General features: G+C 38.6%; 1 protein-coding gene across 3 annotated transcripts in view; it reads right to left on the bottom strand.

Annotated features, from left to right (window-relative positions):
* Positions 1-25,773, bottom strand: part of MEI4 (meiotic double-stranded break formation protein 4) — a 276,772-nt gene that overhangs the window by 214,981 nt on the left and 36,018 nt on the right. For all 3 annotated transcript variants that reach the window (NM_001282136.3, NM_001322247.2, XM_017010155.2), the window contains exon 2: positions 21,162-21,407. In NM_001282136.3, the coding sequence (NP_001269065.1) occupies positions 21,162-21,393 (232 nt within the window). In that variant the 5' untranslated portion in view covers positions 21,394-21,407. The remainder of the gene's footprint in view (positions 1-21,161; positions 21,408-25,773) is intronic.

Genomic DNA, 25,773 nt, shown 5'->3' with positions numbered 1-25,773 from the left:
ATAGCCAGCTTATATAAGAAGTCATCTACAAGGTGAATCAATGGAAGGAAAAATATTTACCCCTTTCTGAAAAGGCATTTTAACTAATCATGGGCTTCTGAGTATTACTACTAATTTAAGGACTCTTAACACCATAGAAATCATGGTACTATCATAAGGAGTTCTGTTTCAAAAGTATACCCCAAATGTTCAGTAAGCCACATATGATAACAAAAGGTAATACTGAAGAAGAGCAGAAATACAACTATTTCTAATTTTTTAAAGATGTACCTTATAATACTAGTTCTGAGAGTAGAAGAAACAGTCTACTTCTGCTAGTTACCTTTACAAGAGAAAAAAAGGGGGTTGGAATCAATGCTAGCTCTCATTTTACAGTTGCTCCGTATTCACTCAAGGGAGTTTGAGATTACCTCGAAGAGCCCAAGTCCAAACCCAGCTGTGCCAGCAGCACTTCCCAATATGCACAGAGACACCTCCAGCTGCCCACAGAACCACTACACCCTCACCATTGTCATTCATGCTCTCAAATCTCTGAGATTCATGTAGGAAAATATAGTCAAATGCATCCCCAAAAAGGTCCATGTCAGAAAGGTCCACATCAGTTCCTTCCATTCTCTTTCTCTTTCCGGCTTTATAAAGTACCAGTGACAAATAAAAATTATATATATCTTCAGTGTACAAGGTAATGTTGTGTTATATATACATATATATACACACACACATATATATACATATATACACATATACATATCTTGTGAAAGAATTAAATCAAGCTAATTAACATATATATCACCTCACATACTTAGCATTTTCTGTGGTAAGACTATTCAGTATCTACTCTTGGCAATTTTCATGGATATGGAACATTATTACTAACTACAGTCACTATACTGTACAACAGATCACCAGAATTTATTCATCCTAACTGAAACCCTTTGACTCTTTGAACAACATCTCTCTATTCTCCCCCAACTGTCAGCTCCTGAAAGAAAATATGGCATCATCTCACTTATATGTGGAATCTAAAAAAGCTGATCTCATAGAAGTAGAAAATAGAATGGGGGTTCCATTCTTTCTAATAGATAACTGTAGTGTACTTCAGAGAATATCCCAGTAAAATAAAAAGATTAAAATTAAGTGAGATGAATAATGAAAACTGCCAATGAGGGCATTTGGGTTGACTATAGAAAAAATAATAGTTCACCCTAAACCAGTGGTTCTCAATCTCAGTTGTATGTTGGAATAACCTAAGGACTATGAAAGAATCATGTCTCAGTCCAGACCCTAGATATTCTGAGGTAATTGGTCTGGGGTACAACCCAGGCATCAAGCCTTTTAACAGCTCCCCAAATGATTGTAATGCAGAGCTAGGGTTGAGAGTCACTGCCTAGAACTCTAGCCTTAAGTCTACCAATACAAAAGAGGCAAAGAGTTTCAGAAAGTCTTTTAAAAAAGAAAAATAAATTTTTAAAATAAAACTAATGTTATAAATCTAATTAATGACACTTTATTTTACCTTTTCTTTTTTTTTTTTTTTTTTTTTTGAGATGGAGTCTTGCTCTGTCACCAGGCTGGAGTGCAGTGGCACAATCTCAGCTCACTGCAATCTCCACCTCCCAGGTTCAAGCGATTCTCCTGCCTCAGCCTCCCAAGTAGCTGGGACTACAGGTGCGCACCACCACACCCAGCTAATTTTTGTATTCTTAGTAGAGACGGGGTTTCACCACGTTGGCCAGGATGGTCTTGATCTCTTGACCTCGTGATCTGCCTGCCTCGGCCTCCCAAAGTGCTGGGATTACAAGCAACACTTTATTTTTCATACCTATGGAAGCTCCTCAGCACTACTACAGGCCTGCCGGAATCCAGGTACAAAAGGCCTGGATTCATATGGTATTTACTGTTAAAAAGGTTAAATGAACAACTAAGTTTGCTGTCACTGTGTTCACCATCACAGACAACTGTGCATGGGCAAGGCACTTCTTTAAAGTGGGACTAGAAAAGTATAAATCACTGAGGCACACATGCCTCCAGGTCCAGCCCCCACTGTATCTCTCACCCTAGCAGACAACAGAGAGCTGCACAGCCACATAAAGCAGCCCACAGGCATGGACTTGGCCTGCTTTGGACTGATTTCTGCTCGGAAGACAAATAGGAGAAGATGCATTGTGGTTCACAGAATAAAAAATAAACACATGAGAATAAACACTCCCTAAAAATACACAGGTAGAAGTAACTTTGGAGTTATTAAAAGCACAGTTATTAACACATTTAGGTTTTAAATTTGCAAAATGCCATATAATTTGTATGAACTGGGTGTCAAGGCCATTCTGTCAAAAATACTGTTTTACAGAGAGAAATGAATTATACTAATTCCAGGAAAGAAGGTATTTTTTATTAGAATATCAAAGGATGAGAGAAAGGTGCCTAAATTCTGCATATCCTGTTTTATTAATAAGTTAGAAAAGTTCAAGTACTATAAAAAGTATGTATAAGGATCAGAAGCATTATTTTTACCAGTTACCTTTTCACCAACTAGTATTTGTGAAATTGATGTAAAATGTTAACATTTTACATGTATTATAATTTACATAGAAAAACTTACTCCATGAAAATAATTTCTGCTGCTTTATATTTACAAGCATAGTCAGAGATGATCATTTTAAATATCAAGCCCAGAAACATATTTGAGAAAACACTGGGTACAAGATCTCATGGAATCCAGCACCACAAGAGGACACAAATGCAACCTAATCTTTGTTCTTCGTGTGATGTATTAATTTTTAAAAGTAATGAGGAATTTTTAGAGCTCAGCTTTTTGAAACGTAAGAAACAGCTTCCTCTGGATGCAATCTTTTTCTTGTGTACTTTGAAGCACAAAAAAATAGCTGACATAGTCTGAATGTATTAAAGATATATAAGCAATATTTCTCTCCTAATATGAGAAAATTGAGAAAAACCAAAAACAAGAAATATTATCACACATTTATTACAAGATAATTAATAATGCCATAGAGGCAGAAAAGGTATGATATCTTTCCTCACCCTTTATAAGGGTCACGGTCAATATTACTGTAACAAAAGACAGGTGTGTTAGTCTGTTTACGTTGCTATAAATAAATTCCTAAAACAGGATAATTTATAAAGAAAATAAGTTTATTTGGCTCATGTTTCTGCAGGTTACACAAGAAACACAGTGCTGGCATCTGCTTCTGTTGAGGGCCTCAGGAACTTTATAATCATGACAGCAGGTGAAGGAGAGTCAGAGTGTCATGTGCCAAGAACAGGGGCAAGAGACAGGGGAGGTGTCACACTCTTTTAAACAACCAAATCTCACATGAACTCAGAGCAACCACTCATTCTTTACTGAGAGAAGGACATGATGTAATTCATGAGGGATCTGCTACCATGACACAAACACCTCCCACTAGGCCCCACCTTCAACACTGGGGATCACATTTCAACATGAGATTTGAAGGGAACAAATATCCAAACCATATAATTCTGTCTCTGGCACCCCAAATTTCATGTCCTTTCATTCCATAATACAATCATCTCTTCCCAATAGTCTCCAAAAGTCCCAACTTGTTTCAGCATCAACTTAAAGTCCAAAGTCTCATCTGAGACTCAAGACAAGTTCCTTCTACCTATGAGCCTGTAAAATCAAAAGTAAGTTATTTACTTCCAACATTGTATGGTACAGGTTCCCATTTCAGAGAAATCAGCCCAAAGGGGCAACAGATCCCATGCAAATCTAAAACCCAGCAGGCAGATATGAAATCTTAAAGTTTCAAAAAAATCCTTGATTCAGTGTCCCATATCCATGACATACTGGTGTAAGGGGTGGGCTCCCAAAGCCTTGGGCAGCTCCACCCCTGTGACTGCTCTCACTGGTTAGAGTTGAGTGCCTGCAGCTTTTCCAGGCTCAGGGTGCACGTTGCCAATGGCTCTAACATTCTCAAATCTGGAGGATGGCAGTCCCATTCTCACAGCTCCACTAGACAGTGCCCCAGTGGGAACTCTTGTGTGGGAGCTCCAATCCCAAATTTCCCTTCAATGCTGCCCTAGTAGAAGCTCTCTACAAGGGTTCCACCCCTGTAGCAGGCTTCTGGCTGGGTACCCAAGCTTTCCTACACATCCTTTGAAATCTAGGTGAAGGCTGCCAAGCCTCCTTCACTCTTCCATTGTATGCAACTGCAGCCTTAACACCAAGTGGAAGCTGCCAAGGCTTATGGCTTGCGCCCTCTAGAGCAGCAGCCTGAGCTGTATCTGGGGCCTTTTGAGCCACAGGTGGAGCTGTAGTAGCAGGGATGCAGTGAGTAGCTTCCCAAGGTGATGCACAGCAGCAGAGCCCTGGGCCTGACTCAGAAAACCATTCCTTCCTTCTAGGACTCTGGGCCTGTGATGGAAGGGGCTGTCTCCTCAGAGACTTCCGAAATGCTTTTGAGGCCCTTTTTCCCATTGTCTTGGATAGTAGCACTTGACTCCCTTTTAGTCAAGCAAATCTCTCTAGAAAGTGATTGCTCCACAGCCCACTTGAATTCCTCCCATGAAAACGCTCTTTCCTTGTCTAACTCATGGTCAGGATGAGAATTTTCCAAATTTGTATGCTCTGCTTCCCCTTTAAATGTAACTTCCAACTTTAAGTTATTACTTTGCTCTGACATCTGATAATAGGCAGTTAGAAGCAGCCACAGCACATCTTGAATGCTAAACATTACTGCTTAGAAATTTCTTCTACCAGATACTGCACATTATGACTCTTAAGCTCAAACTTCCACAGATCCGTAGGGCATGAACACAATGCAGTCAAGTTCTTTGCTAGGGTATAAAGTGGGTGACCTTTATCCAATTCCCAATAAATTCCTCATTTCCGTCTGAGGCCTCATCAGTCTGGCTTTCACTGTCCATATTTCTATCACCATTTCGGTCAGAACCATTTAGTCTTAAGAAGTTCCAAACTTTCCCTTAGCTTCCTGTCTTCTTCTTAGCTCTCCAAACTCTCCCAAACTCTGCCCATTGCCCACTTTCAAAACCACATCCACATTTTCAGGTATCTTTATAGCAACGTCACATTGTTTAGTACCAATTTTCTGTGTTAGTCTGTTTTGTATCACTATAAAGGAATATCTGAGACTGTGAACTTTATAAAGTGGTTTATTTGGTTCGTGGTTCTATAGGCTGTATAAGCATGGTGGCAGCATCCGCTTGGCTTCTGGTGAGGCCTCAGGAAGCTTATAATCATGGCAGAAAGCAGGGAGCCGGTGTATCACATGGTGAGTCAGGAAGCAAGAGAGAGGGAGAGAAGTGCCAGGCTCTTTTACACAACCAGAGCTCACATGAACTCATAGGGAACTCACTCATTACCATGAGGACAGCACCAAATCATTCTTGAGGGATCCATCCCCATGACCCAAATATCTACCACTAGGCCCACCTCCAACATTGAAGATCACATTTTAACATGAGATTTGAAGGTGACAAAACATCTAAACCATATCAACAGGTTAACAGGAGAAAAAGATAACAGATTTATTTAATCAAAATTTTACTTGATATGGGAGCCTTTGGAATTGACAACCCAAAGATTCATAGAAAATTGTCTGTTTTATGCTTAGGTTTGATGCAGAATGGACAGCCATATAGAAATGTAATTGAACAAAAATGATATGACCTAATGGTAATAGTCAAAGAGGGGAAACCCAGCAAGGCCTGTCTGTTTGGATTTTTCCTGGCCTCTCTGTGTGGCACTCATTCCTTGTGGGCACAGGGAAGGACCCCTTCTGAAATGAGTGTCTTATGATCTACTTTCAGATAAGGTAGGTCAGAGAATTTCCCTATGGTCAGCTCTTACACAGAAAGGCAGAAGAAGGTTAGAGTAATGTTTCTAGGTTTTATGTCTAGCTTTTTACAGGAAGGGGTTCTAATTTCAATGACCTGCCTTGGGGAAAAATAATTCTAGTTTCTATGGCCTGCCTTGGGGAGAAAGAGGAGTGGGAGAAAGAAGGGGAGAAGGTCAGAAAGGGACTTTGCTTCTGAGACCCTTCGTGTTCCTCAGTTCGAAGTACTCAGCATACCAAAGCACCACACTTTATGGTGTCATTTTCTGAGTCCACAAAACTGTGAAACAATGGATCTGCTCAATGACTTAAAGCAGCTCACAACACCTCAATGTCTCCTTCACAGCACACACATCTCTCAACAGTGGTATTCTCTCATGTATTTAATTACTATACCAATGCTAACAAATGCCCACACACACTTAAATTTAAAATTCACATAAACAGTGTTTTTGTAACAGGAAATTCATGTGAAAAAACCACCACTGACTTGTAATATAAGAAAAATGTAATAATTCCCCTTCCTGTGATGGGTGGGCGCTACCACCCAAATCACAGTAAAGCCAATGTGGATCCCACATACACATTGGGCCTCCCTCTACAGATACTCATTTCCAATCACTATACTTCTCTGCTGGTTTTGTACCACTTTTATTGATACATGTGCTTTGTCTGCATATTCTATTTAGGAATTCACTCAAATTCATGTTATATCAAGATTACTATTTTAGCTTTCAGTGTGACTCAGAATATAATGCAAGTATGTGTGTTTATAGTTCCACATGTGTGATATTACTTGTAAACTTTATTTACGAGTAAATTTGTTTTGTCTTATTGCCTACAACATGTTAGCATTCATTTATGCAATACATTTCTTTTTAGCTATGTCACTTTATGTACTTTTCTATGGATTGATATAATAGTATAGTTTAATTAGAATTTAAGGTTTTCTACTGGTTTCCAGTGTATGATACACTGAATTTCCTACCCAAAATGTCTCCTCACATATGGGTACTTATTAAGAACAAACGAAGGCAGTAAGATGGAGGGGAGAAGGGAGAGAGTTCTCCTAGAACAAGAATCAACAACACCCAATTGTTAGATCCCTATTATGTTTATCTACATATTGCACTAAACAGTATGAAACAGTATCAAACATAGTTGCTAGGGTCATTGGAGCACTATTATTTTTATTGTTGTTGTTGCTGTTAGGGTCATTGTAGCACTACTATTTTGTTGCTGTTGTTGGTTCATTTTCTCTCATTTCTGCCACTCAGCTCAATCAGGCTCTTAATAAACACTTATTCTTTGGTGACCAGGTGCCAAATGTCACTTGGTACTGAGAAATCTTTCAGAAGCCGGCCTACAAATCCCTCTTAATTTACTGCACTTGGATGTTTTGAATTTACTACACTTGGGTGTTTGAATCATTCAAAACACTCAGGTGTTTTGAATGATTACGTTTCCTTTGACGCTTCTCTGGTAAAATTTTTTTATTATGCTCCCTGAACATATGTTTCACTTTTGTTTAAACCAGTGATTCTCAAACTCCAGTATTCATGAGAATCACCTGGGGGGCCTGTTAAGCCACAAACTGCTGAGCCCCACTTAGAATTTCTGATTCTTAACAGAATCAGGAATGGTGGGATCTGAGAATTTGCATTTCTAACAACTTCCCACCTGATGCTCATGCAGCTTGTGGGGAATTCACTGATCTAAGGAACCACCTTAAAGTACTAAAAGTCATTGTTCTAGAATTCTATAGGAACCCCATTCCATTTACTATATATTTAACCTTTTAGATAACTTATTTTCCTCATTTCCTTATCTATAATCAAGGCAAGAGGGGAGGACGACTTCTTAGACAAGAGTTGAAGCAGCAAGGAAAGAAATTCAAGAATGAAAACCCAAAGGCAGTTGAAAAAAGAAACAATGGGGCCAGGACACAGATTTCTGAATAAAGGGCACTGGGGGAGAAGTGGGAGAAGAAAATAAACTTTAAAGAATAGCTTGTAGAAAACCTGTCAGAAATGAACTCAGCAAAAACAAAGATAAAGGGGCACCTTCTCCTACCTTCAAAAGAGTCTCAGAAAAAGAGAAGCTGACATATTCTTGAGATCTAGGACAAGTCTTTCCACTTGCGCTCTGTATTTCTTCTACATTAAAGAACCTGAGCCAGCAATGATTCTTTTGTTATCCTCTTCCTTCTGTATCTTCTACTTTTCTCTCTCTGCTGGTTCCTTCTCAAAGTACCAGCATGCTGTCCTTCCATTTGCACTCTCTTCAACTACCAACCCCCGCCCTCACACTCACAGTCCCTTGCTAGTCAAATAGTGGTTCTCGGACCAGCAGCATCAATATGACCTGGAAGTGTATCAGAAATGCAGAATCTCAGGCTCATCCCATTTACCCCATTTATCTAATTTCCTTTTCAATTTGATAATGGGATTGATATTACACTATACATTTTTCCAGCCTAATCTAAAGTCTAGAACTATCTACCTGGATTTATTCACTGCACATTAAAGTTATCCTAAAAAATAAATTTCAGGATTTCTAGGATCCATATTAAATCCAGAATCCTCATGGTACGTTTGGATTTCTAGTAGAAACTTATCAAAAACAGATAAATAGGACACTTAAAAGACAAATAAAACCTGTCAAAAAATAAATGTAATCCTAAATATAAAGATGATTGCAATTTGTTATAGCATTAAGCTATTCCAAAAAAAAATCACACTAAGCAAAGACCTAGGAATGCAAAAGTACTGTGAATGGTTTTAGCCTTTTGTTGCACTGATAAGAAGCTAACATTGTCATTCTTCATTTATCCCATTCTGATTCAATTACTTATAAACATGTGTGGCTCTCTTAGAGTCAGGAGCTCTAATACTCACCCTACTTTACTGGGTCTCGATCCTGGATTCAGGATGTTGCTCTCTGTATTCTACTTCCACTGTTACAGGGGCTTGGCAGATATCTAGAAACTACAGATTGGCAAGGCCATTTTGTTCCAAGTATGAACCCTCACATAGACCATTTCTAAACTTATTTATTCACCAAATAACCACCGAACATGTCCCTCCATGACAGGAACTGTGCTAACTATAGAAATACAGTGGGATGAAAATAGTCTCTGAAAGCATAGAGTTTGGGTCTCACAAGGAAGACAGACTGCTTAAACAATTATAATTTAGCTCACATATAAAAAAGTACAGAATATAATGGGGACCCACATCAGGAGAACCTAATCTAGTCTAGGGAGGTAGTTAGTGAAGACAAAAGTGGTATCGAAACTGCATGACAAAAGAAAGAATAGTACACAGCCAGACCAAAAGGAGGGGGAGAACATACCCTACAGAGAGAATATGTATAAAAAACTGGGGCTGAGCAAGGTCCATTCAAATAAGTGGAAGAAATTTGATATGTCTCAGTGCAGAATGTGAAGGACGTGGTGGTGACAGGTTGGGCTGGAGAAATAAGTAAGCACCAAATTCTGGAAAAGTCTGTAGTCCAGTTTAAGGCCTTTGGGTTATATCTGAAATTAAATAAGATGACTTGAGACTGGGCTGCAATTTAGACTAGAAAGGGGCAAAGGCTACAGTTAAAGACATACCAGTCTCATTGGGATAAATTAAGTATGACCAAGGAAATGGCATCAGGAATGGAGAGAAATGCAGAGATTCCAGAGATATGCAGAAAGAAATTATTATAGAGCCTCTCAGAATCTCTATCAAATTAAGGATACATCTTTTTATGTTTATGTGTATTATTCAAGTATGTTTTAAATCAACTACAATTTTAAACAAACTTCCATCATTATTGTATTAGACAATTTATATTATGAAAGCTTATATGGGAACTGAGAGAGAAATGCTTACGCATTGAATTTTCACACTCTTTCAGCATCTGTAAAACAGTGAATGCCCCAACTTATAAATGCTGAGCTCCACAGTTGTGTCGGTAAGTCAGTTATTTGCAATGTTTCCTCAGTACGTCGTCTGGAACAGGGTGAGAAGGACAAAGAGGTGAAACAGAGGCGGAGCAGGCTGGGACCAGGAAAACAGTCATCAGAAGACTAAGGCAAGCTCCATTCTGGATCTGTCAGGCCCCTGTTCTGTTCTCTTGTCACCACTAGTCTAGCTAAAAACTGTTTCCTGAATACATGCTTATACAAGATGAGAAAGCAAGAACTGGGGAGGCAATGGAACAGTGAGAATTCAGTCCTCAGGCTATAAGGCAGAAAAGAAGAGTGAGGGGACCAACCTGAGCAATGTGAGCTAGAGGATCAGGAAGCTCCCAAAGTCATCTGGCTGGGTTGGTTGTTTCTCGGGACCCAAAACTTAAAACTCAGTTCAACCCTAACTACTTACACTGCTCTGCATACTGCCCTCCACCTCCACTACCCTAAGCACTCTATACAAGTGCCCTGTAATTAATAAACATTTACTAAATAAACATGTACATCAATGAATTAATTTAGTTTGATTTTTTCTTACTTTCTTTTCACTCTGGCCAACTGCTCATCCTTTTTACTATAACCAATTGCTCATCCTGTAGCCTATGATTTATGAATATATTCATAATATATTCATAAATATATTGTTATATTTATATATCTATGTATATTACATTACACATAGATGTGTAATACTATCTATGATTTATGAATATATTAACTACTTAAAGTTGCAGGCGAAAAGGCACATACCTGACACTTCATCCATCCACTTCCCTCCTATGAATATCAAATGACCGTGTAATATAATAGCAACTGTCCAGATTCCCCCTGCCCCACCCGCACACACACTCAAATTTTAATCCTAAATCTGCCTACGGAAATTCTATGCCATTTTTCCCATTAACAAAGCCCTGCTCTTGTCACCATAAACCCTTCAATCCCTAGTCCAGTTTAGAAACAGCCACTAACATCTTCCTGGCTAGTCTCTGTGATGTGAGTCTTTCTCATCCACCTTCTCAGACCTAGACTAAATCCTTGCCAACATTAAGAGTCCCTCTTTAACAGGAGCCTGTTGCAGTGTCTATGAAATTTAAAATAAATTAATAAAAATAAATTTAAAAAGAGATTCTATAAAATAAAATGTAAGTAATCTTTTATAAAGAAAAAGAGCATAGCTTTTCACTCGTATGTTCTCTTCCATAGATCAGGAAGATGATTAACCATACCTGCCACACATCACAAAAAAGGTTTTGAGAAATGTGTCACTGGGTATGTACACTTCTTTTTCTTCCTTCCTTCCTTTCTACTTTCCTTTTGTTTTTCATTCTTTCATTCCATAAATTAGTAAAGCGCATTTAAGTAAGATAAAAATGTGACATTATATAATCAAGTTCTCTTTATCCCTCCCCTATATAGTCTAGTCCCCTACTAAATACAATAAAGAGGTATATTCATTAAGAAGCTGTAGAAAAACAAGAATAAAGAAATAGCAGAGTTCCTGAAATGCTGTAGAAAAAGCATATCAGGGTGGAGCCAAGATGGCCGAATAGGAACAGCTCCGGTCTACAGCTCCCAGCGTGAGCGACACAGAATACAGGTGATTTTTGCATTTCCATCTGAGGTACCAGGTTCATCCCACTAGGGAGTGCCAGACAGTCAGTGCAGGACAGTGGGTGCAGCACACCGTATGTGAGCCGAAGCAGGGCAAGGCACTGCCTCACTCGGGAAGCGCAAGGGGTCAGGGAGTTCCCTTTCCTAGTCAAAGAAAGGGGTAATAGACAGCACCTGGAAAATCGGGTCACTCCCATCCAAATACTGCGCTTTTCCAACGGGCTTAAAAAACGGCACACCAGGAGATTATATCCCACACATGGCTAGGAGGGTCCTACACCCACGGAGTCTCCCTGATTGCTAGCACAGCAGTGTCAGATCAAACTACAAGGTGGCAGTGAGGCTGGGGGAGGGGCACCTGCCACTGCCCAGGCTTGATTAGGTAAACAAAGCAGCTGGGAAGCTCAAACTGGGTGGAGCCCACCACAGCTCAAGGAGGCCTGCCTGCCCCGGTAGGCTCCACCTCTAGGGGCAGGGCACAGACAAACAAAAAGACAGCAGTAGCCTCTGCAGACTTAAATATCCCTGCTGACAACTTTGAAGAGAGTAGTGGTTCTCCCAGCAGCAGCTGGAGATCTGAGAACGGGCAGACTGCCTCCTCAAGTGGGTCCCTGACCCGCGAGAAGCCTAACTGGGAGGCACCCCACAGTAGGGGCAGACTGACACCTCACACTGCCGGGTACGCCTCTGAGACAAAACTTCCAGAGGAGCGATCAGGCAGCAGCATTTGCGGGTCACCAAAATCCGCTGTTCTACAGCCACCGCTGTTCTGCAGCCACTGCTGCTGACACCCAGGTAAACAGGATGTGGAGTGGACCTCCAGCAAACTCCAACAGACCTGCAGCTGAGGGTCCTGAATGGTAGAAGGAAAACTAACAGACAGAAACGACATCCACACCAAAAACCCATCTGTACGTCACCATCATCAAAGACCAAAAGTAGATAAAACCACAAAGATGGGGAAAAAACACAGCAGAAAACCTGGAAACTCCAAAAAGCAGAGTGCCTCTCCTCCTCCAAAGGAACACAGCTCCTCACCAGCAATGGAACAAAGCTGGACAGAGAATGACTTTGACGAATTGAGAGAAGAAGGCTTCAGACGATCAAACCACTCCGAGCTAGAGGAGGAAATTCAAACCAATGGCAAAGAAGATAGAAACTTTGGGCCGGGCGCGGTGGCTCACGCCTGTAATCCCAGCACTTTGGGAGGCCGAGGCGGGCGGATCACGAGGTCAGGAGATCGAGACCATCCCGGCTAAAACGGTGAAACCCCATCTCTACTAAAAATACAAAAAAAAATTAGCCGGGCGTAGTGGCAGGCGCCTGTAGTCCCAGCTACTTGGGAGGCTGAGGCAGGAGAATGGCGTGAACCCGGGAGGCCGAGCTTGCAGTGAGCCGAGATCCCGCCACTGCACTCCAGCCTGGGTGACAGAGCGAGACTCCGTCTCAAAAAAAAAAAAAAAAAAGAAACTTTGAAAAAAAATTAGACGAATGGATAACTAGAATAACCAGTGCAGAGAAGTCCTTAAAGGAGCTAATGGAGCTGAAGGCCAAGGCTCAAGAACTACGTGAAGAATGCAGAAGCCTCAGGAGCCGATGCGATCAACTGGAAGAAAGGGTATCAGTGATGGAAGACGAAATGAATGAAATGAAGCGAGAAGGGAAGTTTAGAGAAAAAAGAATAAAAAGAAACGAACAAAGCCTCCAAGAAATATGGGACTATGTGAAAAGACCAAATCTACGTCTGATTGGTGTACCTGAAAGTGACCGGGAGAATGGAACCAAGTTGGAAAACACTCTGCAGGATATTATCCAGGAGAACTTCCCCAATCTAGCAAGGCAGGCCAACGTTCAGATTCAGGAAATACAGAAAATGTCACAAAGATACTCCTTGAGAAGAGCAACTCCAAGACACATAATTGTCAGATTCACCAAAGTTGAAATGAAGGAAAAAATGTTAAGGGCAGCCAGAGAGAAAGGTATGGTTACCCACAAGGGGAAACCCATCAGACTACCAGTGGATCTCTCAGCAGAAACTCTATAAGCCAGAAGAGAGTGGGGGCCAATATTCAACATTCTTAAAGAAAAGAATTTTCAACTCAGAATTTCACATCCAGCCAAACTAAGTTTCATAAGCAAAGGAGAAATAAAATCCTTTACAGACAAGCAAATGCTGAGAGATTTTGTCACCACCAGGCCTGCCCTAAAAGAGCTCCTGAAGGAAGCACTAAACATAGAAAGGAACAACCGGTACCAGCCACTGCAAAAACCTGCCAAAATGTAAAGACCATCCAGGCTAGGAAGAAACTGCATCAACTAACGAGCAAAATAACCAGAGAACATCATACTGACAGGATCAAATTCACACATAACAATATTAACTTTAAATGTATATGGGCTAACTGCTCCAATTAAAAGACACAGACTGGCAAATTGGATAAAGAAGTCAAGACCCATCAGTGTGCTATATTCAGGAAACTCATCTCACATGCAGAGACACACATGGGCTCAAAATAAAGGGATGGAGGAAGATCTACCAAGGAAATGGAAAACAAAAAAAGGCAGGGGTTGCAATCCTAGTCTCTGATAAAACAGACTTTAAACCAACAAAGATCAAAAGACACAAAGAAGACCATTATCTAATGGCAAAGGGATCAATTCAACAAGAAGAGCTAACTATCCTAAATATATATGAACCCAATACAGGAGCACCCAGATTCATAAAGCAAGTCCTGAGTGACCTACAAAGAGACTTAGTCTCCCACACAATAATAATGGGAGACTTTAACACCCCACTGTCAACATTAGACAGATCATGAGACAGAAAGTTAACAAGGATACCCAGGAATTGAACTCAGCTCTGTATCAAGCGGACCTAATAGACATCTACAGAACTCTCCACCCCAAATCAACAGAATATATACTTTTTTCAGCACCACACCACACCTGTTCCAAAATTGACCACATAGTTGGAAGTAAAGCTCTCCTCAGCAAATGTAAAAGATCAGAAATTATAACAAACTGTCTTTCAGACCACAGTGCAATCAAACTAGAACTCAGGATTAAGAAACTCACTCAAAACCACTCAACTACATGGAAACTGAACAACATGCTTCTGAATGACTACTGGGTACATAACGAAATGAAGGGAGAAATAAAGATGTTCTTTGAAACCAATAAGAACAAAGACACAACATACCAGAATCTCTGGGACACATTCAAAGCAGTGTGTAGAGGGAAATTTATAGCACTAAATGCCCACAAGAGAAAGCAGGAAAGATCCAAAATTGACACCCTAACATCACAATTAAAAGAACAAGAAAAGCAAGAGCAAACACATTCAAAAGCTAGCAGAAGGCAAGAAATAACTAAAATCAGAGCAGAACTGAAGGAAATAGAGACACAAAAAACTCTTCAAAAAATTAGTGAATCCAGGAGCTGGTTTTTTGAAAAGATCAACAAAATTGATAGACCGCTAGCAACACTAATAAAGAAGAAAAGAGAGAAGAATCAAATAGACACAATAAAAAATGATAACGGGAATAACACCACCGATCACACAGAAATACAAACTACCATCAGAGAATACTACAAACACCTCTACACAAATAAACTAGAAAATCTAGAAGAAATGGATAAATTCCTCGACACATACACTCTCCCAAGACTAAACCAAGAAGAAGTTGAATCTCTCAATAGACCAATAACAGGCTCTGAAATTGTGGCAATAATCAATAGCTTACCAACCAAAAAGAGGTCCAGGACCAGATGGATTCACAGCCGAATTCTACCAGAGGTACTAGGAGGAGCTGGTACCATTCCTTCTGAAACTATTCCAATCAATAGAAAAAGAGGGAATCCTCCCTAACTCATTTTATGAGGCCAGCATCATCCTGATACCAAAGCCTGGCAGAGACACAACCAAAAAAGAGAATTTTAGACCAATATCCTTGATGAACATTGATGCAAAAATCCTCAATAAAATACTGGCAAACCAAATCCAGCAGCACATCAAAAAGCTTATCCACCATGATCAAGTGGGCTTCATCCCTGGGATGCAAGGCTGGTTCAATATACGCAAATCAATAAATGTAATCCAGCATATAAACAGAACCAAAGACAAAAACCACATGATTATCTCAATAGATGCAGAAAAGACCTTTGACAAAATTCAACAACCCTTCATGCTAAAAACTCTCAATAAATTAGGTATTGATGGGACGTACCTCAAAATAATAAGAGCTGTCTATGAGAATCCCACAGCCAATATCATATTGAATGGGCAAAAACTGGAAGCATTCCCTTTGAAAACTGGCACAAGACAGGGATGCCCTCTCTCACCACTCCTATTCAACATAGTGTTGGAAGTTCTGTCCAGGACAATCAGGCAGGAGAAGGAAATAAAGGGTATTCAATTAGGAAAAGAGGAAGTCAAATTGTCCCTGTTTGCAGATGACATGATTGTATATCTAGAAAACCCCATTGTCTCAGTCCAAAATCTCCTTAAGCTGATAAGCAACTTCAGCAAAGTCTCAGGATACAAAATCAATGTGCAAAACTCACAAGCATTCTTATACACCAAGAACAGACAAACAGAGAGCCGAATCATGAGTGAACTCCCATTCACAATTGCTTCAAAGAGAATAAAATACCTAGGAATCCAAATTACAAGGGATGTGAAGGACCTCTTCAAGGAGAACTACAAACCACTGCTCAATGAAGTAAAAGAGGACACAAACAAATAGAAGACCATTCCATGCTCATGGGTAGGAAGAATCTATATCGTGAAAATGGCCATACTGCCCAAGGTAATTTACAGATTCAATGCCATCCCCATCAAGCTACCAATGACTTTCTTCACAGAATTGGAAAAAACTACTTTCAAGTTCATATGGAACCAAAAAAGAGCCCGCATTGCCAAGTCAATCCTAAGCCAAAAGAACAAAGCCGGAGGCATCATGCTACCTGACTTCAAACTATACTACAAGGCTACAGTAACCAAAACAGCATGGTACTGGTACCAAAACAGAGATATAGATCAATGGAACAGAACAGAGCCCTCAAAAATAATGCCACATATCTACAACTATCTGATCTTTGACAAACCTGACAAAAACAAGCATTGGGGAAAGGATTCCCTATTTAATAAATAGTGCTGGGAAAACTGGCTAGCCATATGTAGAAAGCTGAAACTGGATCCCTTCCTTACGCCTTATACAAGAATTAATTCAAGATGGATTAAAGACTTACATGTTAGACCTAATACCATAAAAACCCTAGAAGAAAACCTAGGCAATACCATTCAGGACATAGGCATGGGCAAGGACTTCATGTCTAAAACACCAAAAGCAATGGCAACAAAAGCCAAAATTGACAAATGGGATCTAATTCAACTAAAGAGCTTCTGCACAGCAAAAGAAACTACCATCAGAGTGAACAGGCAACCTACAAAATGGGAGAAAATTTTTGCAACCTACTCATCTGACAAAGGGCTAATATCCAGAATCTACAATGAACTCAAACAAATTTACAAGACAAAAATAAACAACCCCATCAAAAAGTGGGCGAAGGATACGAACAGACACTTCTCAAAAGAAGACATTTATGCAGCCAAAAGACATATGAAAAAATGCTCATCATCACTGGCCATCAGAGAAATGCAAATCAAAACCACAATGAGATACCATCTCACACCAGTTAGAATGGCGATCATTAAAAAGTCAGGAAACAACAGGTGCTGGAGAGGATGTGGAGAAATAGGAACACTTTTACACTGTTGGTGGGACTGTAAACTAGTTCAACCATTGTGGAAGTCAGTGTGGCGATTCCTCAGGGATCTAGAACTAGAAATACCATTTGACCCAGCCATCCCATTACTGGGTATATACCCAAAGGATTATAAATCATGCTGCTATAAAGACACATGCACACGTATGTTTATTGAGGCACTAGTCACACTAGCAAAGACTTGGAACCAAGCCAAATGTCCAACAACGATAGACTGGATTAAGAAAATGTGGCACATATACACCATGGAATACTATGCAGCCATAAAAAATGATGAGTTCATGTCCTTTGTAGGGACATGGATAAAATTGGAAACCATCATTCTCAGTAAACTATCACAAGGACAAAAAACCAAACACCTTATGTTCTCACTCATAGGTGGGAATTGAACAATGAGAACACATGGACACAGGAAGGGGAACATCACACTCCGGGGTCTGTTGTGGGGTGGGGGGAAGGGGGAGGGATAGCATTAGGAGATATACCTAATGCTAAATGACGAGTTAATGGGTGCAGCACACCAACATGACACATGTATACGTATGTAACTAACCTGCACATTGTGCACATGTACCCTAAAACTTAAAGTGTAATAATAATAAAATTAAAATAAATAAATAATAAAAAGAAAAAGAAACGCGGCTGCCCAGGCACCCAGTTACATTTGAATTTCAAATAGACAACAAATAATGTTTAGCATAACATGATTATATTGAATGAGATGTGTTTATAATAAAACCTTACTCATTGTTTATCTGATATTCACATTTAAAAAAAAGAAAGAAAGAAAAAGCATATCATACTTTCTTCCTTGTTTATTTTGCCATTTTGGCTTTGCTTTATTTAATTTTGGGTTGCTCAGTTGCTTCAATGAATAGTTGATGCTGTAAACTGAATTCCCCATCCTCTCAATCTGTCAAGAATCATTCAATTCAACATTTATTGAGTACTTTCTGTCTCTACACACTCAACGACAGTTGCACATATAAAACAACACTGAAAATTCTAGAAAAAATATGTAATAATATAAATACACTTTAATATAGTTTTGATTTTCAGGTATGGAGTTTTCTTAGAGCAAGGATTATCACTATTTCATGTCATCCTTACATAACTGCCATGTTCTTCCTTTATTTTCCTGTCAGTGTATGCTCCCCTTTTGTATATTTTTTCTCTCCCCTTTAACAGTTACTCCATTTATCTAAATCTATTCATTTATTCCTCATTTTTGAAGTTTAAGGTAACAGATAGAGAACCAGATTACTTCCATACATCTGTGCAGAAACATTGTACCTGCAACTCCTGCTGTGAGTAAAACTGACTTTAATTATATGATTTTTTGAAAATTTTTCTCACAGGCACTGTAACTGAAAGTGTTCAGCATAAAAACAAGCTATCACCTAGGTTCCTCCTATTAGGCACATTCATGTTACAAAAAAATAACATGCACATTTTATCAGTATTATGAATAGACCCTTGGATAGTAAACAAGAGTTTTGATTTCATGGATGCTTATGATAGTCATAGTTTAAGATTCCTGGAAATTTTAACATTTGAGACATTATATTAATTGTATAACTATACAGGAAAAAATAAAGAAAAATTGACTATGTTTGCCATTCATTCACTGGGTATACTCAAAGAGCCCATTATCAAAAAGGACTCTAGAGAAACTAAAATGTGGCTGTAAATTGTGTAATACTATTTTTGCTCATGCAATAGTAAGATTTTAGTAACATCTATTAAGTTACTGGGTTTTCATGATAATTCCCAAAACTAAAGTCTCCTATTACCCACAGCATATATGTGCACCTTACACCTGCTGCACGCTCTTAATGTGATAATGCCTCATCTTCCTCTGACATCCCTGGAATATTGGAATCTGCAGGCTTCCCACCTACACTCATGGCTCTATTCTCTTTGAGTCTCATCTACAGCAGTAACTTCACTATTCCTTAAATCCAACAGATCCTAAGTCTGTGTCTGTAGTTCTAGCATGCTCATCCTCTCTGACCATACTTCCACCTTCCTTCTAGGTAATCCATATTCCAGGGATTAGCCTACACTCAGAGAAACTTGGGCTCAACCTTTTGTCCTATTAGCTTATTTCTGTGTTCACCATCTGAATTGAAAGTATCACAATCCATTCAGTAGGCTAGGAGGGAAACCTTATTTAGGTATTTAGGTATTACCCTAAATACTGCTATGTCCCTTAACCACTCTCTGAAACCATTCATAAATGTCTAAAGTGTCTACTCTGAATTTATTCCTACATGTCTGTCCTTTTATTTCTCACTATCACAGATCTAATTCAACTCACTATTCCTTATGTAGGCTTTAGTCAAAGCTTTAAAAATTGGTATCCCTGCCTCAAATCACCTCTATAGCCAAAACATCCTCTATGTTCCTCTTTCATTGAACAGGTATTTGCTGATCACCTTCTGTGTGTCAGGCTTTGAGCTGGGCAACAAGTAAAGAGACCTGAGAAAATCAAAGGTCTCTCCTCAGTGAACATAAGCTCAAGTTCAGGAGATAAACCTGCAACCAAGTAAATAAACAAATAAGTAAATACTACACAGGAGGTGCTTGTGTGGGGAATAACTAGTGGGGGTCCACTAGAGGAGTCAAGGAATACCTCACTGAGGAGGTGTCACTTAAAATAAGACCAAAGGAAGAGAAGAAACCAGCCTCAAAGAGTCAAAGAGAAGAACCTAGGAGAGGACCATGGCAATAAAGAGATTTCAAGGGCTAGAAGGAAGGCCATGTTGACTAGGGCCTAGCTGATAATGGGGAGAGTGTATGAGATGAGGTGGGAGAGGTGAGTAGAGGTGAAATCACCCACAGCATTTTGGGCCACTATCAGAAGCCTGAATCTAATGCGAAGCCTAATTAAAAGCCAGGGAAGAGTTTTATGCAAAGAAATAACACTGCCTGATTTATGTGTTTTTTTTTCTAACTTGCCAGAATTATGTTTCCCAATCATGAGTGTCAATCTTCTGCTTCAAAAAAGCCCAGTGGCTCCTGATTAATAGGGTAACCACACGTTCTAGTTTGCTCAAGTAAACCCAGGTTTGCCCCTGTGTTCCCAGTGTAATTATTAATAGGCCCTTCCTTTCACCCTCACAAGGGTCCTAGTAGAAACCATAAATTACATGGCTAACTTACTGATAAGCAATACAGTAAAATATTCCTTAGGTTGACATTCAAGACCCTTCTGAATCCGGTCCCAACTTCCCTCTGTACCTTGTACCTTTTTCCCCATCGCTTCTTTGCCTTACAAGTGTTCTGGTCACTCTTAAATGTAATGATGGCAGTATTCTGAATGCAATATGTATTCTCCACTCCAGTGCCTTTGCACACGCTCCTGCATCTTACTGGATGTTCTGTAACCATTTCACTGACAGAACTTTGAGGGCCAGAGGTAAGAAGCCTTCCCAGAAACTAGGCAGAAGGAATAACTTCCTCCTCTGTATTTTGTCAGTCTCTATTATAGTATGTATCACAACTAGGTTAATTATTTATACACCTGTTTTCTCTGCTAGAATGGTAGACACTTAGTAGCAAGGACAGCACCTCCTTTTATGTGTTTTGGAGTCCTCACCACCCACACATGCCTGGCTGATAGCTGGTATTTCACATTGGACTGCTAGATTAACTACTGAATATAAAAGCAAAATAAAATGTATAGTAAAATAATAAAGTTGAACAATGAGATTTTAAAAGACCTTATTGCCTTCACATCTATACTATTTTCATTCTCTAACTTCATTCCAAAGTCAAATGTAGGAAAGTGACAATAAAATTTTAATGAATGACCAGAAGTAAAAAAATGTATAAGGCTAGAAGATGTCGAGCTTTCATGGAAACTAAAAATTTTCATGTTTTGGGAATACATTTCTAAATAATTGTGCAACTGAAATAAAACAAGTATGACATACTACCAAAAGGCAATTTTATATACTCACCACTCTTAAAGGATCCTGAACAAAGCCTGCTCACAAGAAGTTTTTGACGTAATTGCATAACTTCAGCTTCCAAGATTTCAACTTTTGATCTCCATTTTGACTGCTCCTCAGACAGCAACATAGCAAGGTGCTCTGTGTATTCTCTGCTGCTTTTGTCTGCTGGTTTTGAGCGGATAATTGCCAAGGCCAGAGCCAGCTTTGAAGTTCTCAAATACCATTTTTGAACATCCATCCTGGCTTTTGTCCCTATCATTTAATAAGAAAAAAGTTATAGAAATTCTTTTTAACTTGTGCAGTGCATTTCATTTGCTTAAAATTGATTTTGCAGAGTAACATTAATTAATAAGTTTATAATAAGACTTGGCACCAAGTAACAGAAAAAAAAATCAGGGACTGAAAACAGTATGAGAAAATTATGCAGAAGAAAAATACACACACATGCATATTAAATATATTAAGATTCAATAGTAGGTTTAGACAATTTGACAACTTCTTGGGATGGAAAAAACACATATTAATTCATTTAGTTGTTTCTAACCAGAGAAACGTATCAGAATCTCTGAGGGAGCTTTCAAAATATACTCCCTCAAAATTCTGATTTAGCAAATTTTGAGTAGGACTGAGGCTTTTATATTTTGAAAATGAGTCCACTGAATAACCAGAACCATTAAATTATCTATTTATAAATTTAAGTCCTTCCTTTCCTCCAACCCATCTGTTAAATCTTGCATTCCTTAATGAACCTTTTACCTGCTATTTCTGCCTCTAACCAGCCCCCTCCAATCTATATGGAGAACAATCTTTTAAATATTTGCATCATTTAAGTTGCGAGTCTACTCTGATTCTTCACTTCCAAAGATTTCCAATCGTCATTCTGAGCATACTTTTCCAAACCAACAGTGTGTCACAGTCTTAAAATATAAACATACTTATGGAGGCCACATGACAGACCACTGCATACACTGCTTTAATATCATCCCTACTCAAGTATAAGACCCTGTGGCCTCCTCCAGGCTTTATTAGATTATCATGAGAGTTGTGCACATAAAATGTGCTAAATAAAAATGCTTGATGAAGAGTGAAAAGTAAGATGACCCAGAATATTCAGGACTTTCAGTTGCCCCACCTATCCTACTAACACATTTTCAAATTCTTCACCTTACATTTCAAACTTTATTTCCTTCCATTTCCCCAGCCTATCCTTCCATATTGGTTGGATCACACTCAACCAGATACAGCCCAAGTGTACTCCTGTACACATCTCTGCTCATAAATTTTCCACTGCCGTGATGCCCTGAATTTCTTATATAGCTGCCCAAGCCCTGACTGTGCACCCTTTAAAGAACAACTCATATACCAACATATAAAATTTTCTCAGGTCTATTCCCACCCACAGCGATGTGTAACTAACTATCTGATATCCTGTAATTTGGCACTGAAAATGTACAATCTAACAAATGGCTTAATGCTGTTTTATTATAATTAGTAATGAACACAAAAATCTGTATAAAATATGTTCATCACAGCATTATTGATAATATTGAAAATGGACTGACAAATAGTTAAATTAATAAAAGTATGACTATACAAATGAATATTACTTAGCCATTAAAAATTAGATTTTTAGAAATTTTGTATTAGCCTGAGAAAGTGTTAAGTACAACAAATGAAGACATGAAATTATATGGACAGTAGGACCCCAGTTACAAGAAAAATGGGGAAGATAAAAAAAGTAAATAGAAAGTATAACTGTAGAATTATTGGTGATTTTTATCCTCTTATCTTCATTTCTTTGTTATTTTTCTAATTTTATTCAATTAACATATATCAATTATAATTAAAAATGTAAAGAAACTAGATTTCCAGAATCAAAGTACACAGCTTTGTATTTTCACAGCTGTTGACTACACTAAGGACTAGATACTGTCAAGATGAACAAACTAATTAGAATTATAGCTCCACTTATTTTAGCTTTCTCAACAACCATTTCACTCCCTGGATCATCCTCCATCTGTCATCAGCGATAGGAGCAGTGGACTCTGACACTCATTACTCTCAGAAAAGCACCCTATGTGCACAGGACAGACATATGGTTTTTGAGACCCTCCTTCAAGAAGTAAGTTTGCTAATACATAATGATACTGATTTTTTAAAAGGTGCCTATTCAAAGTTGTTTCAGTTAGAAAAGAATCTCACATTCAATTATAAACAGTGGGATTCCAGGCTAAAAGAAAAAACTAGAAAAACAGTTTATTAGCACAAGAGGACAAAGTTCTCTGGATAATAAAAACACAGCAAATTCCCTGTCATCCTGCAGAGATATTTAATTAATTGATTGAAGCAACCTGATTAACTAAATGTTCTGATTTTTAAGTTGTTGCATATGATTTGTTAATAGTCTTAAAATCATGCTGAATATCAGCTATCAGAAAGAAAGATCAAATTATAAAATTCTTATGGATTGTAACTATATCAAGGTCAGGGTCATTTGTCTGAACATTTAGATTTGTACTACAAATGAAAAGAAATAATTGCTAATAAAGAGGTTTAGCACAGGCTTGCAGGATATAAATCACACTTAAAATACACACAGAACAACAACATACAACCAAACAAAACCAGGTTTTTAAAACTGCTTCCTCATGTTTGTGTGTGTAAATGTGTGTGTTTATAAATGTATGCCTTCTTAATTGTAGAACAGCATTCCTATCCTCAAAGTATCATTTGCAAAATAAAGATAATTCAGTTTCCCCTAATATTTCATGGAAGAAAAATGAACTTCTATGGCATCATAAGAAAGATATATTTGGCCTTCGTCCCCAGTTCCTGACACAAAGCTCTTAAATCCCTTAGAATTTCCTGAGGTAGCTTGTGGCAGGCCCCTAGAAAGCTTCAGGATAGGAATTAGTTGCCAGAAAGACCAAACCATAATTAAAAGCTTGGAACTTTCAGTCCCACCCCAAGCCTCCAGGGAGATGAGAGGGACTGAAGACTGAATTAATGATGGATCATGCTTTTTTGATGAAATCTCCATAAAACCCCCAATCAATGGGATTCAGAGAGCTTTCAGGTTGGTGAACACATCAGGATGCTAAGAAGGTGGCACACCTAGAAAGGATGTGGAAGCTCTGTGCAATCCCCCCATACATGGCCCTATGCATCTCTCCCATTTGGCTGTTCCTGTGCTGTATTTTTTATAGTAAACTGGTAATAAATAGAGTGACTTACTGAGTTCTGTGAGTTATTCTAGCAAGTTATCAAGCCTGACTAGAAGGGTTGTGAGAACCTCTGAATAAGTCAGACAGAGTGCAAGTAACCTACGGGCCCAGTACCTGCAACTGGCATTTAAACTGAGTGCAGTCTGATGGAACTGAGCCCTTAAACCTGTGAAGTCTGAAGCTAACTCCAGGTAGTTAGTGTCAGAATTGAGGTGAACTGTTGAAAATCTAGTTCGTGCCCAGAGAATCAGAACTGGTTGTTGCTACTGGAAAACACCCCAGCTTCCTAAATATATTCTCTGTTTCACTGAGGAAAGATCAGCAGTAACTTTCAGAAAGCCTTTTTAAATTCAATTTATGCTCAAATAATTAGAGTAAATAATGAAAATGAACATTTAATATCTCCCACGAAGGTATGTAGTGTCTCTTAATTCTTAATAGTTTAAAGTATAAAATCAGTCTTTTTAGAACACAGCATCAATTCCAGCACAGCTTACTTGTATTCTTTTTTATTTGGGAGCAGTTCTTACCATAGTAACATTCCCCATGGGGCTGTGAAAAAATGTAGTCATATTACATATGACCTTGGATTTTCCCTCAGGCAATGCATGTAGAAACAGCTACTCCACACATTATTTTGGCCATTTGTATCATTTATTTCTCCTGCCCTAATTTTTCCTTATTGAACTTTAATTTGCTATCAACTCGCTAATTTTCTGAACCATCAAGTATTTTATATTTATATTATAACTTCAAATTCTAAAGTTACTTCATCACCAAGATCACTGATGAAACATCTACAAAAAAAAAGAGCCACAGACCATTCCTATTCAAGACTGGTGGGAATTTTGAATTACATAGCCATTCAGGAGGATATTTTCCTAATATGTATCAAACATCTTCAAAGTATGTATTCCCCTTTGTCCCAGCAATACAAGTTCTAAGATTTCACCTTCAATAAATGATCAGAGCTGCATACAAAACTTTATGCCCATACATGATTTATAGAATTATAACTACCAATATAAAAAAACCTGTCACCAGTCTGAATATCTAATAATAGAGATCAAATTGTGATATATCATATAACTCAACTAAAAATGTTTTTGAAAATATTTGAAGTTATGGAAAAATATTTCCCACATGACATTAAATGTACAGTAAAACATAAAACAGTAAATGCAGTAAAACTGCAAATTAAAAAAATCTACAGACATATAGACATTAATATAGTGATACATTTAAAGACAAAAGGGGAAAGGGAAAAAGAGAGGGAAGGAACAAAAGAAAAAGAGAAAGATAAAAAGAGGGAAAGAAGAGAAAAGACAGACTTACTGACCAAAATAAAAGCAACCCTTCACCATGAGTTGAGGAAGTCTGAATGATATTATTTT

This window comes from Homo sapiens, chromosome 6, assembly GCF_000001405.40.
Source record: "Homo sapiens chromosome 6, GRCh38.p14 Primary Assembly".
Taxonomy (NCBI): Eukaryota; Metazoa; Chordata; class Mammalia; order Primates; family Hominidae; genus Homo; species Homo sapiens.
Note: the sequence above shows the minus strand (reverse complement) of the source record. Positions and strands in the feature narration are given on the sequence as shown.